Here is an 18435-nt window from a genome sequence, read left to right as displayed (position 1 = left end):
GTGACTTGGGCCCAAGAGGGAGTGGTGAGGCTTGGGCTGAGTCTTGAAAGTTGGGAACCATGTGGATGGGCAATGGGGAGTGAGGGAAACATGAGTGGTGAAAGGGAGAAGGGCGTGGTAAAAGTCTGCCAGGGTCCTTAACACACACAAACTCAGTATTTCGGGTCCCAAGCTGCCCTATAGAGCAGCATCCCCAGCCCTGGTAGCTGTCCCTATCTTTGTCCTTAACTTCTCTGAGCCCTACTTGGGTCTCTACCGCCTCTGGCCACCTGGCCCCGGCTTCAGACTGCAAGGAAGGCTGCCTGGAAAAGACCCATCCGAGGAGGAAGGTATACCCAAAGGGTGACATCTTTCCAGGGGAGACCCTAGAGAATAAAACAAACACGGATTTCAAATTCTCTCCTCCTTGGCCCGTGCAGATAAAGCCCAGGACCGGCCGGGCATGGTGGCTCATGCCTGTAATCCCAGCAATCTGGGAGGCTGAGGTGGGTGGATCACCTGAGGTCAGGAGTTCGAGACCAGCCTGGCCAACATGGTGAACGTTCATCTCTACTAAAAATACAAAAAATTAGCCGGGCGTGGTGGTGGATGCCTATAATTCCAGCTACTCAGGAGGCTGAGGCAGGAGAATCTCTTGAACCCAGGTGGTGGAGGTTGCAGTGAGCTGAGATCGAGCCATTGCACTCCAGCCTGGGCAACAAGAGCAAAACTCATTTCAAAGAAAAAAAAAAAAAAAAAGCCCAGGACCTACCTACACAAATGAGGCACACTCTTCCACCCCCGAGACCCCATGGGTTCTTGTGGGTCAGCCCCTCACCTTATTCTGGTCCCTCAGAAGCCTTTGGCCTAAGACACTGAGCACAGAACAAGGGACTGTGGTAAGAGTGTCTCCCATTTGGGTCACAATGTTGGATGAATCCCTCACCCCCGGGACCTCAGCCTTTACATCTGTAAAATGGGACTAATGCACTTGTCCTCCCCCTTCAGAGTGCAATGGTGAGATAGGTCCCTGGAAAAAGGCTGCTGCTATGTGAGCCTGGCTTCATCGCAGGAGCACTTGCCATGTCCCTGGCATCGTACTAGGCAGTGGAGAGAGCAAATATGAACAGAAAACAGCCTCTGCTGTCAGCAGCCCCACAGCCCAGTGGTAGGGGCAAGCAAGTAACACTAATGACAGGCACATGGAGAGGTGAGGGTGGAAGTGTGGGTGGGGGGGGGGGCGGGTAGAGGACCCTGGGGGCCAAGGAAGGGCTCACAGAGGAGTTGGCCAAGCAGATTTCCCGGGGGTGAGGAAGGGCATTCCAGATGGAGAGGTCAGGGTATGTGGATGCAAAGCAAGGGAGCAGGACCAGCCACACAAAGCTCAGCAGGGAGGCAGCAGGACCCAGCGGGGCTGACATAGGCTTGGAGTCAGGCTGCTAGGGTTCAAACCCCTGCAATGTGTGACCTTTTAGTTTTCTTTTCTTTTCTTTATTTTTATTTTGAGACAGGGTCTCGCTCTGTTGCCCAGGCTGGAGTTCCATGGCTCCACCATAGCTGACTGCAGCCTCAGCTTCCTGGGCTCGTGATCCTCCGGGTTCAGCCTCCTGAGTAGCTGGACCACAAGTACACACCACCACATCTGGATAATTTTTAATTTTTTTGTAACTAACATAGTGAGACATAGCGTCTCACTATGTTGCCCAGGCTGGTCTCAAACCCCTGGGCTCAAGCGATCCTCCTGCCTTGGCCTCCTGAAGTGCTGGGATTACAGGCATGAGCCACCACACCCAGCCCTTACAATCTGTGATCTTGGACAAGTCACTAATCGCTCTGTGCCTCAGTTTCCTCATAGGCTCTCCTGTACTTATAGTTTCTTCTCTTGTCCAGATAAAATGAGTTATATGCACAAAGCACTTAGAACAGTGCCTGGCACATGCTTAGCGGTTCATAAATGATGATGATGATGAAGTGATGGGGCTGGAAGGCCTAAATAAACCCACACAGAGGCAGGCAGGGCGGGAACTGTAATCCCCGAGTCTTAGGGGATGGTAATGGCTGGCGAACCCAAGACATACAGGGTGAACCTTAAGTCAGGCGGATTTGCAGAGATGAGGGCCTTTCAGCTGCCCATCGGTTTCAACAGCACATCAGAGAAAAAAGTGGTGGGGTTGGGGACTGTAAAAACAGCTGTCTCCTAGCTAAACTCCCTCCTTTGAGGTTAGAACCAGGAGGGCAAGCCCTGAAACCTCACCAAGATAAGGGGGTGCTGCCCTCTCCCCAGCTCTATCCAGGGGCTGTTTCAACTCCCGGACTCTCCGGGACAATGGCACGCTCGTGAGAGAGGCCGCAGAGCGAGGCAGCTTTTCTCACAAGAGCAATGGAGAGAGAGAAAGCCAAGGTCTAGGGTGCCTCAGAGGGCAAAGGTCCGTGGCCACGGGACGTGCCTGTGCCTACCCGGCGACCCTGCGCGCGGCCCGCAGGAGCGCGGCGATTCGGGGCCGTGTGCCACCAGAGGGCGCGCTGGATCTCAGAGTGTGCGGAGCGCTCAGCGAGGGGCGCGCGGTGGGAACTAGGAAGGGCGGACGGTGCTCGCCTGTGTGCGCGTGGGGGCGGAGGGAAAGAGGGGAGAGAGCCCGCGTTCCCAGAAAGCCCGGAGTTCGAGGGTTAGGGCTTTCCAATCAGCTAGCTCAGAGCAACCGGGGCCGAGGACATAGAAAAGTTACACTAGTAATATCAAACTTACACAATACTCACCATGTGCCAGGCACTGTTATCCAATCCTCACCAGAAAGCCAGATGTTATTATTGTCTCCACTTTATAGTCAGAGAAACTTGAGCTTCCCTGCGCCAGAGGTCCCACACCTGGCTGGGGCTAAACCTGGGATTTGAAGGCCCAGGGTCTGGCTCCAGGGCCTGTGCCCCCAACCGGTGCCCTGTAATAATACTTCTCTAGTAATCTAGTCTCCCAGGTCCGCTTGAGGCTTGATCACTTTCTCACTAGCAGCTCCCTGGTTAAGGTAGCTCAACCCTTTCCTGCAGAAGAGTTGAGTAGATACGTTCCCGCTTGCTAGGCTGGCATCACTACTGCAGCTGCCCCAAACCTCAAAGACTGCTCAGTGGCCGCCAACAGGTTCTGATTTAATTAACATGTACTGAACACTTACTGCATGCTGGGAACTGAGTTAAGGCATTTACATAGGTTCTTATGCAATGCTCCCAATGATGTGTAAATTACGTGTACTTGTTCTGATTCTCATTTTACACACGAAAAAAGTCAGGCGGGTAAAGGAGGGTAAGTGGTTTTCCTGAGTCACACAGTTCACTCCAGCCTGTGGAGCTCCAACCACCATATTCACTTATCCATTCATTCAACAAATCTACTCTGTGCCAGGCACTGACTCAACAGCGAACAGGACACTTAAAAACCTGTTCACTTGCTTTCTTGGAGTTTGCTTTTTTTTTTTTTTTTTTTTTTTAAGAGACTGGGTCTCACTCTGTCTCCCAGGCTCGAGTGCAGTAGTGCCATCATAGTTCCCTGCAGCCTTGAACTCCTGGGCCCCAGTGATCCTCCCGCCTCAGCCACCCAAGTAGCTGTGACTACAGGCATGAACCACTGCACCCAGTGAAGTTTATACTCTTCATCAGCTATAGAGAGTCCCCCACTGACATTCACCCAGTCCTTGTTTCTTGTTGGTTTATGAGAAGAGGTGAGAAGAGGTCATATGCTCTGAACAGAAAGGAAAACAAGCTTTTTGCATATGGTGGCATACATGAGATAATATTCCTTCACCTTCACCCAGAAGGTGGTATACTGATGGCTGTTATGGGTTGAATTGCATCCCTCGAAAAGATATGCTGAAGTCCTCACCCCCAGTACCTGAGAATGTGACCTTATTTAGAAATATGGTCATTGCAGATGTCAAGTTAAGATGAGGCCATACTGGAGCAGGGCAAGCCCTAACCCAATGCAACCAGTGGCCCTATAAGAAGAGGAGAAGACATGGGGATGACACAGACATGTTACAACAGAGGAGACTGAAGTGCTGCAGCTCCAAGCCAGGAACACCAGTGACTGCCAGCAACCACCATAAGTGAGGAAGACGTAGGAAGAATCCTCCCCAGGGTTTTATAGGGGGCATGGCACTGCCCATACCTTGATCTTGGACTTCTAACCTTCAGAACAGTGAGACAATACATTTATTTATTTTTAAGCCACTCAGTGTGTGGTACTTTGGTATAGCTGCCCTAGGAAACCACTCTAATGATATTAACTTTAATTCTTTTCCATTCATGGGGATGGTGTGCTCCCTCATCCAGGTTCTTTTTCTCACTCCAGCCCCACAGTGGCCAGGGTTGGGGGAATACTGAGGTGATGCACAGGTGCAAAGCTCACCGGCCTCAATGACATCTACCCCCAACCTGTGGTCTCAGCATCACCATCCTCTACCTGACTGAATAGACCCATGGTTACCAGTCAAGATGACAAAGGTGTATTCATCTGGCAGAGGCAAGGCAGACAGCAGGCAGGTGTGCCCAGGGCCCCTGTACCTCACCTGCCAGCCTCACTCAGCACTGCCAAAGCCTCATGTCACTGATGTACTGCCTGTTGATTCCTGCCGAAGGACAGGGCAGAGGGAGAAGCTGCGTCCTGCTAGTCCATCAAGCTGTGTCCAGGTGGTCCATGGTGGCATCAGGTAGAGGCCATCAGCCTTGTGGGGAGTCATGCCTGACCCGGTCTCTCTCCCTCAACAATCACCCCCTAAAGTGCCTCGATACAGCTGTCATTGTACCTGGCTCATCAGAGGGCTTCAGGCTCTGGGAGACAGAATATTGATTTGCTTGGCTTAGGATATTCTGGTTTGAAAATAAACAAAGTGCCAAATCTGAAAACTGGGGAGTGACTCAGTCCCTCATTGTGAAGTTACAGACACTAGTGGCTTCTGCCGTCCTGGTAGGTTGGGGCCCTGGCAACAGTCACTTTGAGTCTCCTGGGCAGCCATGCAAGTGTTTCTCAAACCCCTTCAGCTTGCTGACATTTTTCTGGATGTACAAACATTCGCAGGCATATGTCCTGTCTCTCTAGGAAGGTAGCAAACTTCTCGAGGGCAAGGGCTGTTTTGAATTGTTCTGTGTCCAGCACAGTGTTTTCTATGATCAAAGGAAGCTAGGCACATGGTCCGCCCTACCCACACCCCTGGCTGGCTTGAGGGCGGACATGCTTTAGTGAGAAGTAGAGGTTCCTTCTGGATTGTCCAGCCCAGCTTATGTGGGAGGGAGAGGAGCAGAGATTCAGGGCAGTTGCTCCATGTAGGTGTAGAGGAGCCCTTCATGGGAACCTCCCCCAGGATGGGAATTTCAGAAGTTGGGGCAGGTTGGTGGGTGGCAGCAAGGGAGTAGAGGAAGAAAAGAACGCTCCAGTATCACTCACTAAAAGAATACTTGTCTCCCACAGGAACAGGTACCCAAGAAAAGGAGTGTGAGGTGGCAGAGAGAATAGTAAGCCTGATGAATCTTACTGAATGTAAGCCTGGTTTTCATTAGACCCACCCCAGGCACATGGACCCTACTTCCCCAGTAGTGCAGCAGTATTTTCCTAGCTGCAAAGGCTCTTTCCTTTTCCTGAGTCTTTCCTTCCCTTTTTCCCTTCTCTATTCATTCATCACTAAACAAATCTTTAATGAGCACGCACTCAGAGTCAGGCACTGTTCCAGGTGCTGGGGACCCAGCAGGGAAAAACCAGACAAAATGACCTGCCTCTACGGAATTTACGTTCTAGTGGACGAGGATGCTCTCTGCTTTCCTTTTTCTCATCCTTCTCTTACCACCCACTAGGCTATTGGTAGTTCAGATAAACCCCAACTAGAGAGTCCAAATCTCATTCATTCATTCATTCTAGAGCTGTCCATTAAGTGCCTAGGATGTGCCAGGCACCATTCTAGACCCTGGAGATCTTGAGCATCTCGCAGGAGGCCACACCTTCTTGGGTTAAGGACAGTCTAAAAGAATTACCCCTCCCTTCCCAGACCAGTGCATCCCTCTGGACACAGAGATGTTGCAGGAAACTCTTGATTATTTGTGGATATTGCGTACAGAATGTAGATTGAGTTAGGTGTGAGCCACTGAGATCTTGCCTTTCCCTTTGTTGCCTCCTTTCGTGATCCCCGCTTTGCACCCTTTGGAGCCCAGGAGACCACAGAGGGAGCCCTGGCATGCACTGGGCCCCATTCCTGATGGGAGCTGTCTCCCGCCATAGCAGCTCAGCCACTCCGGACTCCAGCTGCCCCGCCAGCCCTCGCTGCTTTAATTAACTCTGTCCGGATGCGCTGACTCACTCATTGGCTCTGTGACCCCCCTGGTCACAGAGGACACCTCCTCAGACACAATTACATTTGAGGATGAAGCATTTCCTCTGGGCACAGAACAAGCTAGTGAAAGCTTTTCTGGGGGAGTGGGAAGGGGGGCCTGCTTGGAGATGACTCACGAGCAGGCCTTGAAGTTAGTGGCATCCCACAGGGTAGGTGTGTCTCATTCAAATGCTATATGCCCTACAGGCCTTATTACTCCGTGGAAGTTTCTGTTCTTGGGGGGAGAAAGAGGATGCACCCACCTTCCTAGGCAAAAGGGGACTTAACACCTGCATCAACACGGGGTATATCAGTAACTATGCGCAGTGTCCCCAAAGCCCCGGGTGGCACCCCAAAACCCCGCAATCACCCATATTTATTTAACACAGTCTATGCACTTGCCCAGACACAAAGGAAATAAATAAAATATGATCCCTCAGCCTAGATTTGAGAAGAAGAATCAAAGACTCTAAGCTCTATAGCATCCCTGTGAGACAGGTATTCTCAGTCCCATTTTATGGACTAGGAAATTGAGGCTTGGAGAGACTGAGTGACCTGTTTTCTCAGGAACTGCACTGGCTTTAAGAATTCAGTTGGCTAAGGATGATTCTGAGGTCTTGCACAGGTGAGCAGGAGGACAGCCCAGAAAAATTGAAGTCTGGTCCTCTTTCCTGACTTACATTTTAGACACAAGGAAAGAATACTAAGAAACCAGCCTGTGTGGGTATGACGGAAACAATATTCACGTTGGAAAACCTCCTGTTGTCCTGTAAGTACAGCCTCTTGCAAGTCTATGGAAACTAACAGTCTCAAGCCCCAGACACCCACCACAGGGCTGGGTCTGGTGCTGAGCCTGGGGGAAAGGTTATCAGTGTTTCCTTTGTGGACATCTGACATCTCTCTTTAAATTGAAGTGAAGGAATTTGCATTTTAATGATGATTTTACCAGGTTTGTGCCACCTTGAAGTGGCTAATAATTATTAGGTTGGTGCAAAAGTTATTGAGGTTTTTGCCATTGAAAGTAATGGCAAAACTCACAATTACTTTTGCACCAACTTAATGAAGGATACTGAACAAAAGAAATTCATTGGGAAGTGTGGTAGGTATTTAGTTTAAAACATACTCAGATGTCATTCTTATGACATCTGTAGGGACACAGCCATCTATCCAGCATCCACCTATCCATCCAAGTATTTCCTGACCATTTGTCACATATAGAAAGAACAGTGAATTAGACACACATGGTCTGTGCCCTCAGGTAGGAGAAAGGAAGTGGCTGCTGCCCATTGGTGATCTGACTGGTTGGTGACTCAGTGGGGTGAGGAGTCTCCTGAACTGTTTGCTCAGAGTCCTTGACCTCAAGGTGAGTGTAATAGAGATGCTCTGGACCTTGGGGTCAGGCAGAACTGGATTGGAGTCCAGGCTCCATCACTTACTAGCTGTACAACTTTGGACAAATTACTTAACCCCTCTGAGCTTTGGGTTCTTTATATGCAAAATGAAGAGATACCTACCTGGAAGAGTTGTTGGGCAGATTAAGTGAGCTATTTCAGTGTCTATGACATGCACTGTTGCAGGCACTGGCTTTAGCGTCCATAATAGTAGCTTAGAGTATTGGGCCCCCCATTCTGTGCTAAGTGTTACCCATTTAATTCTCATTTAGTTTTCTCGGTGTGTGTGTGTGACACACACACACACACACACTTCATGAGCAAATACTGTCCCCATTTTATTGGTGCGGAAACTAAGACTCAGGGAACATGTAACCAGCTCAGGATTGCATAAGTACTAAGAGACCTGGCTGGGATTTGAACCACATCTCTCTGCCTCCAGAGTCCATGCACAATAGTAATCTTTTCCCACTACCCACATACATAGGCATAGGCTGATAGCTCACAGCCTAGTCTAGGGTCTGGACTCCTCCTTCAGCCCACAGACAGTAACCCTGAGGTGGATGAGGAAAGATGACATCTGAAGGCATCAGTCTCCCTACAGGGTGATATAGGGAGACTGCTTGTTTCCAAGAGGCCAGGGTAAGGGACAAAGGTGTCAGAGAAACCTCACTTCCTGCTACAGCCCCCATAGTGGCATCTGGGTCCCAGCCTTGGCCTGGCTCTGCGGGCAGTGTTTGCATAAGCACGTGCCTGTGAGCATGTGTGTTGGGGGTGATGTTATTCACAGCTGCTGGCCGACAGTAAATAAGACAGTGGGGCTTGATTCATGAGCTCTGACAGGAAATCTATAGCATGTGGTGTCTATAATCCACAGACTACGGCGTGGCAAAATGAAAGAACAGCAGTCCAATTACAGAATCCTGGTGGATCCTGGGCACACCTCTCAGACCTTGCAGGACTCTGGCTTGGCTTGGCTGGGGATGGCCTGTCTGGAGCAGCTGGGGCAGATGCTCCCGTGGTCTGGGCATGTGGGGGAGCAGCCCCCAGAAGCAGCTCCCAGTTGAGGTGCCTGGGCACAGCCGGGCTGCCTGAGGGATGGGAAGGAGGGGCATGGAGGCTGGCACTCCCAGCCAGAAATCCAGGCTCAGGTCAGCTCACCCAGCACCAAGCCCCCATGGTGTCTTGAGGCCTAGCCCCAGGGGAGTCCCTCCAGCAGACAAAAGCAACCTGCAGACCCCTATGCTCTCTGCCTCCTGCTTTCAAACCCAGGACACTAAGGGTGTTGCCCTGGGTGAGCCAGGGATGGGTGCCCCGGGTGGAAGTCATTTCAGGGTCTGGCCTTTGGGGATTTAGAGAAGGCTGGGCTGTAGGCGTCTCAGCCGATCAGAGGGGTTAGCATTCCCACTTAGGACACATAGCAGTTCCCCACCAAGTATTACAGAAGTTGGAGGAGCAGCTTTCCTTCACCTTAAGGGCAGGATCTGCATGGATTCCATCTTTTTAGCCCTGACCATGTACTGGGTTGAATAGTATATCCTCAAAATCCATGTCCACTCTGTGAATGCGGGCTTATTTACAAATAGGATCTTTGCCTGTGTAATCAAGATGAGGTCATGTGAGATTAAAGCGGGCCCTAATGATATGTCTACAGGCCAAGAAACACCAAGCGTTTCCGGCAACCACCGGATACCAGGAGAGAGGCATGGACAGATCCTTCCTCAAATGGCCCTGCCAGCACCTTGATTTTGGACTTCTGGCCTCCAGAACTGCAAAAGAATCCATTTCTGTTGTTTGAAGCTACCTGGTGTGTGGCAATTTGTGACAGCAGCCCTGGGAAAGCAAGACACACAGCCTGGCACACAGTACCTACCTAAAAAACAAACGTGAGACAGAGCCCGGAAGGTCTGAATTCAAGTCTTGGCTTTATTAATTGGGTCTCTCTGATCTTATTCAAGCTACTCTGCAACTCCTCCTCTACAGAGCAGCCAGGGCAAGTGTTGAAAAGCACAACACTTTTCCTCTGGGTGGATACCCAGTAGTGGGACTGCTGGATCAAATTGGTGGTTCTACTTTTAGTTCTTTCACGAATCTCCACACTGTTTTCCATAGTGGCTGTACTAGTGTACATTCCCACCAGCAGTGTGGAAGTGTTCCTGATCACAGCATCCATGCCAACATCTACTGTTTTTTGATTTTTTGATTACGGCCATTCTTGCAGGAGTAAGGTATAGTATCGCATTGTGGTTTTGATTTGCATTTCCCTGATCTTTAGTGATGTTGAGCATTTTTTCATGTTTGTTGGCCATTTGTGTATCTTCTTTTGAGAATTGTCTATTCATGTCCTTAGCCCACTTTTTTGATGGGATTGTTTGTTTTTTTCTTACTGGTTTGTTTGAGTTCGTTGTAGATTCTGGATATTAGTCCTTTGTCAGATGAATAGATTGTGAAGATTTTCTCCCACTCTGTGGGTTGTCTGTTTACTCTGCTGACTGTTCCTTTTACTGTGCAAAAGCTCTTTAGTTTAGTTAGGTCCCAGCTATTTATCTTTGTTTCTATTGCATTTGCTTTTGGGTTTTTCGTCATGAAATCTTTACCTAAGCGAATGTCTAGAAGGGTTTTTCCAAAGTATCCGCTAGAATTTTTATAGTTTCAAGTCTTAGAAGTCATTATTTGAAAAAGATACTTGCACATTCATGTTTATAGTAGCACAATAGCAAAATCATGGAACCAACCCAAATGCCCATCAATCAACGAGTAGATAAAGGAACTGTAGTATATATATGATGGAATACTACTCAGCCATAAAAAGGAATGAATTAACATCATTTGCAGTGACCTGGATGAGATTGGACACTATTATTCTTTTTTTTTTTTTTTGAGATGGAGTCTCTGTCACCCAGGCTGGAGTGCAGTGGCACCGTCTCAGCTCACTGCAACTTCCGCCTCCTAGGTTCACACCATTCTCCTGCCTCAGCTTCCCAAGTAAGTGGGACTACAGGTGCCCACCACCATGCCTGGCTAATTTTTTGAATTTTTAGTAGAGACAGGGTTTTGCCATGTTGGCCAGGCTGGTCTTGAACTCCTGACCTCAGGTGATCCACCTGTCTCAGCCTCCCAAAGTGCTGGGATTGCAGGCATGAGCCACCACGCCCAGCCTGGAGACTATTATTCCAAGCGAAGTAACTCAGGAATGGAAAACCAAACATCATATGTTCTCACTGATATGTGGGATCTAAGCTATGAGGATGCAAAGGCATAAGAATGATACAATGGAGTTTGGGGGCTTGTGGGGAAGAGTGGGAGGGGGGCAAGGGGTAAAAGACAACAAATATGGTGCAGTGTGTACTGCTTGAGTGATGGGTGCACCAGGATCTCACAAATCACCACTAAAGAATTTATTCATGTAACCAAATACCACCTGTACCCCCGTAACTTGTGGAAAAATAAAATAATTAAAAATAAATAAAAGCACAACACTAATAACAATAGTGAATATTTTGAGCACATAACACATGCCAGGCATTATTCTAAGTCTTTTACAGAATTAAATTTATTCCATCCTCACAATCACCCTCTGAGGTTAGTACTGTTACTGATCTCATTTTACAGATGAGAAAACTGAGCCCAGAGAAGTAATGAAATATTTCTGAAGCTAATAATTATTGCCGCAGGCACCATTCAAATCCAGGCAGTCTAATCCTCATATTCAGTCTATCTCCCACTATATTTGACATCACTCCCTACCTAAAATCATCCAGTGACTTCACATTACACTTAAATTAAAATGTCTTACCATTACCTACAAGGGTTTGCCTGATTTGTCTCTGATCTAGCCTACCTCTCTAAATTTCTGTAGTTCATGGCTGAAAATTCTTTACTCCTCCTCCTACAAATTAATGATTTTATTTCTGTCCCCTTGAATTTGGGCTGGCCCTAGTAACTAGCTTAATCAACAGAATGAAGTGGAAACGATGATGCATAATTTCCAAGGCTAGGTCAGAAGAAGCCATGCAGCTTGGAACATTTGCTCTTGGAACCTAATCACCATGCTATGAGGAAGCCCAAGCAGCCCCGTGGAGGGGCCCACGTGGAGAAGAACTGAGGCCCCTGGCTGACAGTCCCCTCGACTGAGCTCCCAGTCAACAACCAGCACCACCTGCTACACATGTGAGTGGGCATCACCTCCAGCTCCAGCTGAGCCACCCCAGCTTGATACTGCAAGGTGTGGTGACAAGTCACTCTCCCCAAGCCCTGCCCACATTTCAGATTTGTTAGCAAAAGAAAGGATTGTTGATATTTTAAGACACTAAGTTTGAGGGAGGTGGTTACACTTGTTGGATTCGAATCCAAACAGTCTGACTTCAGAGTCCATGTTCTCAAACACTGATTGGCATCATGCCATCACTCCCCTACTTAAAACCATCCCATGACTTTATGCCATACCTAGAATAAACCACCAACTCCTTGCCAGGATGTACAAGGCCCTGCTTAATCTGTCTCTCCAACAACTTCTTGGACCACCCTCCCTCTCACTTGGCTCAGTTCATCTCTGTTCCTCTAACATTCTGAAGACCCGGACTTTTGTATCCACTGTTCCTTCTGCCTGGGCTGCTCTTGGCAATGACTGAATCTTCCTCACTTCTCAGGCCTGAGGTCAGAAGTTCTGAGAGGCCCTCCCTGAATGCCCTGTCTAGGGGATCTTCTGGATCCCTTCATCTCCCCTGTCCACTCCATCACCTTGTTCATTTCCTTCACTGCAGTTTAGTCTAATTTGTAATGATCTCATTCTTTGCTTACTCGATCCCTGCCCATTTTTCTACTGGAACATAAAAGGCTTGAAAGCAGGAACGTGGCTGTCAAGTTCACTGCTGTGATCCCAGGACCTGTCACAATGCCTGGCATGGAGTAGATGCTCAACAAGAATTTTCTAAACAAACAAAAAAGTCAGTTATTATTTGTCAAGTTCCTATAAGGAATCATGCCAGGAGATGTGCTAAGTGGTCAACATCCAACAACCCTGTGGCATGGACCTTACTATTCCCACTTTACAGATGGGGAAATCAAAGCTCATGCGGACCAAATTCAAACCAGAAGTCTTTGGCTCCATAGCCTATAACCTTAAGCAGACAGCCACGCCCGTTCCTCTCTTTGCCTGTCTGAGCTTCAGGCTCCTCACCTGAACGAGTGGAGATGACCACAGCAGCTGCAAGTGGGAGCACCAGCATCAGCATCATGACAGGTGTCAGGTGGAAGAATGCCCTTACTGTAATCAGCAATATTTCCCTGGTCTTGGAGTGGTCTGAGGGCTCAGTGGGCTTTGCCTACAGGCTTGCTTAGGGCTCTCACCAAGTTCCCTGTTGCCCCTCACTTTTGCCCATGCTGTTCCTTCTTTCCTGCCAGAATGCCACCTCTTCTGAAAGGTGTGTCTGATTTAGAGAGCCAGAGGGAGAAGGCTGCTCACCCCTGGGAAAGCCTCCTGCCACTCAGGACCATTGTGCTGACTCCTTCCTGGGAACTCTCACAATGCCACCCAGTGGGGCCCTTTGTTATTCTCTAATAGGGCCTGTGTGTTAGCCCCGTTGCCCCAAATACGCTCTGATGTCTTTGAGGTGAGACTTCACCTTATCCTTCTCTGTATACCCGCATCACTGCTGCCACCACCTGCCCTCCCATGTCCCAACCTGCCTAGCATTCTGAAGTTCCTCCCTGGGGTCCCCATCAGCCCAACTCCAGGCCATGGCCTCACTGGGCAATCTCAGGGACATGTGGACTCTTGCCAGAGTACCACCTCCAACTCCTCACCATTCTCCAGCAGGTTTTACGCTGCCAGCCTGGAGAAGGACAAGCATGAATTTGCCAAAGCTTTATGTGAGAATTCTTATCCAGATGCATCCTCAGGTATTCTCATGCCTCCAGTGCCCAGCCTTACTCACTTCCCTCCAGGTAGTTTAAAGAATACCAACTGGACACCAAAGCTAGGGTCAAATTCTGGCTCCCAGAGACAGTGGGTGGGCTTATTAATTTGCTAACTTCTCTGAGCAGGGATTGAGCTATCCAACTAGCAAGACTGCCTTGATCAATTTAATGATCATCAAGAACAGCACATACTTTTGTTTCCCCACTCTATTCCCTGGAGACCTCATGGCCCATCTTCCCTAGGAAACTTGGCCTGAGACCCTGGAGGCCAGGAGCACTAAAGGCTTTCAGGCCAAGTCTCAAGAGAAATGTCAGCCCGCAGGGCCTGGGGACAAGAGTTCTGAGGGAGGCAGGAGAGCCGGGTGAAACCTGAGGGCTTCCAGGAGGCCACAGGGAGGGGAGTACATGAACTGTTTGCTGAAGCCCCCGCCAGTGAGGTGTGAATGTTGAGGTATCTCTGAAAGTGGTCACAATGTGGTGGCTGGGGAGGGGACGAGGACAGCAGGACATAAGGCCCCCAGGCCGAGAACCAGCTGAGGGAGAGCTGGGGGCTGTCTGGGCAACGTGGCTGGGCACTCAGCGAAGACTGTGCAGGCTTCTCTTCTGAGAAACGCCAGGACCTAGGAGAGGGGAGAAGGGAGCCCAGAGGGAGGAGACTCAGTCCATGAAGACAGGAAGGAGCAAGAGAAAATCCCATTTGCAGGAGGCTGGAGCACACAGATTAGAGGGGGCTTGGGGAAACCCTGTCTCGACCCACCTTCTGGGCAGCTACTTGGGTGCAGGGGCAGGCTGAGTCTCGGTACTTCACATGCCCCTTCTCCAACCCTGGGAGGAGGGATGATTACATCTATTCTGCTCATGAGGAAACTGAGGCTCAGAGAGAACCAATGATCGAGCTCACTCAGTTCATAACAGAGAGAGCAGACATTGCAGTTCAGCTCCACTGCAGAAGCATATTCCTCTTCCATCACCTCCAAGCCAGAGCCCCTCACCCATGACAGAGTTTGCCAACCTGCTGCATTGTGCCTTGTCTACAAAGTCCAGATTTGTCCTCCCTCATGGTTTGTCAACACAGCTAAGCAGGAAATTCACACCAGAAAGGCACAGACTTTGTATTTAGCCTTTGATGATACTGAATTGCTCCTCATTCCTTCAATAAAGCCATTCACCTGATGGACAAGGAAGGAAGAAAGGTGGGGATGGGGAGAACGCACATTCCTGCACACACCTCATTTCAGTTCCCGGCCACAGCAATCCTACCAGGAGGTAGAACCGTCTCCATGTGGCAGTGAAGTCAACCGAGCCCAGAGAGGCTAAGTCACTTGTCTAAAGTCACATAAGCTGGCTGACATGAAGCCACGGAACCGAACCATAGGATTCAAGCCTAGGTCTTCCTGGCTCTTTCAACAATGCCATTAAAAACTCTGAGTAAAAAGAAAACTCAGATGTGAAGAAAAGAAAGAAATGTGTGTCAGGAGCATGGGCCGGGGGCACAGGGGTGCTCACATCTGTCCGTCTCCTGACCCAGCCACTTTCTGCGCCTCGTTCCAGTCATCACTCTGAGGGGTGTTATCTGAGGCCATATCCCCAGCCCCTGGGCATAGAGTTAGAGCGATTCCCTCCAGGTTGTCTAGGAAGGACACTTTGCTTAGGTGAATGGCCACTCTCTGGGCCCTGCTGTCCTTTTCCGGCCTCCTGGGCTCCCCACCCTGCCCCCCAATTGTTATCTGTCAGTACACAGTAATTAGAGATGTGGCATGCTTGATAAAGATTGCCGCCTGCCCCGAGATGGAACTGCCCTCTCGGACGTGTCTAATTAAAGTCCTGATTGATAAGATGAAGAAATCCCACCCGGATGGATGTGTCCCGGCCTCTCCCTCCTCTGTGCACTCAGCCCCTTCATTATGGGTGACGAGGGAGAGAGATATAAAGCACCCCAGGAAATGCTTCTACAAACCAATCAATATGTCCTTTTGTGCGATGTGACGGGGCACGCGGCATAGCCTTTTGAACCATTCCTGGGGCCATAGAGGCAGCCAGGCAGCTGGGAGAGCCCCCTGCCCCGGGCTTGTGAGTGTGGGGGGCTGCTCTTCTACCCCAGCCTGGGTCGGCTCCAGGAGGCCAGACCAAGGCGAGTCTGGCCTGTTCTTTCACCCAGGCTGCTTTCTCTGTCCAGAGAATTGTGGGATTCTGGGGCTCCTTGCAGAGCACGCACATGTCCACACAGCTGTACAGGGGCCTGTCTGGACATGGTACAGTACACGTCCATAAGCAGCCTAAAGCTGGGTGGGTATGAATACACACATCTGAGGTGGAGCCCGGAAGCTCATGGGGCCCCAAGAGGTGCAGGTGGAAGGGGTAGAGACAATGGTAATGACGATGGCTACCATTCATGGGCACTGACCATGTGCCTGGCCCTTTGTTAAGTGCGTTCATTATCTTATTTCATCCTCACAACAAATCCTACAAAGTAAGTGATGGTAGTATCCCCGTTATGGAGATGGAGAAACTGAGGCATGGGGAGGTTAGGTCACAGAACCGTAAGCGTGGAGGACCTGACGATTTCAAGTGGAGTCGATGCTGATTTCCGTGATGCCACACAGCAGAGGCTCAGAGCAGCTGCACCCACTAGGGTGTGCCATTCTTGGATATGATATACACATTATTTAAAAGATTTTTTAGGGCCCTAGAAAGATACATAATAAATTCATGATACTCATCACTGGGAAAGAGGAGAAAATAACTGGAAGATGGGGCACAAAAAATCAAATGTTCATTTTTTTATCAAAACATGAGACACAGGTAACAACATATTATCCATGGTCCCTTTGAGGTGCATGCTATTTTTCTTTTTCAGGGGGTTAAGGGGACGGAATCTAGCTTTGTTGCCCAGGCTAGAGTGCAATGGCACAATCTTGGCTCACTGCAACCTCCACCTCCCTGGTTCAAGAGATTCTCCTGCCTCAGTCTCCCGAGTAGCTGGGATTACAGGCCACCACACCCAGCTAATTTTTTGTGTGTTTTTAGTAGAGACCAGGTTTCACCATGTTGGCCAGACTGGTCTCAAACTCCTGACCTCAAGTGATCCACCCAGCTTGGCCTCCCAAAGTGGTGGGATTACAGGCATGAGCCACCACACCTGGCCTGCTATTTTCTATTCTTTAAAAAAAGAAAACCTATTTCCTAAAGGAACACAAAATAAGCTATACCCCTCTCTTCGAAAGGAGGGGAGAATATGTGTCCTATAAATATGCCACAATTTCATACCCAGCTTTGCCAGGGACAGGCAGCCTGGAGTTGAGATGTACCATCTGGCTAAGGAGAAGATGCAGGCAGCTGTGAGGAACCATCTTTGATGAATAACAGATGTCCATGGTTTTGGTGCCCCAGTAGCTCACCCGGCTCTCCTGGCTGGCAGGGCTGGCACGGAGGTGCTAGCTGGGGCAGAGAGGCTGGGCAGCAGGCTCCCCTCAGGCACTCTCCCCTCCAGCAGCCAGGGTGCCTGGGTGCTCGCTCCATGCCCACCCGGGCTGGAGCCAGGGCCAGGGCTTGATGGAATGACATACTGCTGTACTAGCTAATAAATAGAAGTAATTTGATTAGCTTTCTCTAACTGGTGATAAGATCCTGACAAACCCTTTTTAATGCGTTTCTGGAGCAGGATGAAATTGTTTCATTCGGAGAGTAGGGCCCCCTGGGAGTCGCCTTGAAGCTCCTTTAGTGAGAGGTAAAAATATGCCAATCATTAATGAGGGGAGAATTGCAGAGACTTTAATGCAATCAGAAAGAGGGGCCCCGAGGCAGCTCGGGAATAAAACCTGCCCTTAAATCAGAGACAGGCGGCTGCAGGAAGGAAGGAGGAGGCGATGTAAGCTTGCATGGAAAGCAGAAGCTACAGGCCCCATCGGGCAAGACAGCTGCAGCCCCGGAGCTTGTGTCCACACAAAACCCTACACCGTGTCAGGGACTCCTACCTGAGGCCGTGGCAGTAGGAGTAGGATTGGGCAAAGGAGGCAGTGTTCATAGAGGGTGTGCTCTCAGCACAGTCCCCCTCAGAACAAGGACCAGGATCTCATGAGTTCCTAGAAAAGTTGGTAATCGACCAAAGCCTCCTTCCTAGGACAACTGTGGGAACCACAGTTTTGAGAAGCCCTTTGCTGGAGCAAAGAGAAAGATTATTTCCAAGGTGAAAGCTTGCTGATGAAGCTTCAGGTGAACAGTCAAGCACCCGCCCTTCCCCATCCAGCCCCCGCCCACACACACCTACCCATTGCTCATTTTCTAGAAGGTTCTATGGATTCCACCTACAGCACCATACAAGGTGAGAGGAAGTCACGATGTATGAGTGGACCCGTCTTTTTCTGAAATTCCCTTGATCTGGAGGCAGGAGTTGAACAAACAGGAGCACCTACCACCACGAATGCTTCCTACCTTCCTACCTAACACCTCTATTGCATCCTGCAACACCCACGGCAGCTCCAAGGGGAAAGTCCTCTACCTCTGCCAAGTTAGATGTCAGATCTGCCTTCCCACATCATGGGACAGGATGCCTCAGCCCCAGGAGAGTCTCGGCCACTGCAAGTGACTTCTGTCTCTCACTGGCACCTTTAATCAGCAGCATCCCAAGTTGTCCATGCCTAGATTCACTCTCTCTGCATCTCCTTCTATGCTTCTCCTCATCCACGCCACGCCAGCCACTGGCCTGGCTGTGCCTTGAACACCCCTAGTCCGTTCCTACCTCAGGGCCTTTGCACTTGCTACATGTACCCTCTGCTTGAATCTCTTCTCTGGGATTGTAC

The 18435-nt window shown here is 49.7% G+C and overlaps 1 protein-coding gene across 2 annotated transcripts in view, besides 3 other annotated features; it reads right to left on the bottom strand.

Annotated features, from left to right (window-relative positions):
* The window catches only part of ESRRB (estrogen related receptor beta), a 191061-nt gene that overhangs the window by 146393 nt on the left and 26233 nt on the right, over positions 1 to 18435 (bottom strand). The window lies entirely within an intron of this gene.
* Positions 2209 to 2398: an enhancer, noted in NCBI's record as "active region_8768". NCBI's record gives its function as "activates an Ori minimal core promoter by ATAC-STARR-seq in GM12878 lymphoblastoid cells {active_cell/tissue: GM12878}" and the evidence as "EXISTENCE:reporter gene assay evidence [ECO:0000049][PMID:35858748]".
* Positions 13627 to 14127: an enhancer, noted in NCBI's record as "H3K27ac hESC enhancer chr14:76807661-76808161 (GRCh37/hg19 assembly coordinates)". NCBI's record gives its function as "activates a minimal SCP1, AML or CMV promoter by ChIP-STARR-seq in naive H9 embryonic stem cells {active_cell/tissue: H9 hESC(naive)}" and the evidence as "EXISTENCE:reporter gene assay evidence [ECO:0000049][PMID:30033119]".
* Positions 14128 to 14628: an enhancer, noted in NCBI's record as "H3K27ac hESC enhancer chr14:76807160-76807660 (GRCh37/hg19 assembly coordinates)". NCBI's record gives its function as "activates a minimal SCP1, AML or CMV promoter by ChIP-STARR-seq in naive H9 embryonic stem cells {active_cell/tissue: H9 hESC(naive)}" and the evidence as "EXISTENCE:reporter gene assay evidence [ECO:0000049][PMID:30033119]".

The sequence above is a fragment of the Homo sapiens genome, chromosome 14 (assembly GCF_000001405.40).
Source record: "Homo sapiens chromosome 14, GRCh38.p14 Primary Assembly".
NCBI lineage: Eukaryota > Metazoa > Chordata > Mammalia > Primates > Hominidae > Homo > Homo sapiens.
The sequence above is the reverse complement of the archived record's forward strand: the minus strand, read 5'-3'. Positions and strand labels throughout refer to the sequence as shown.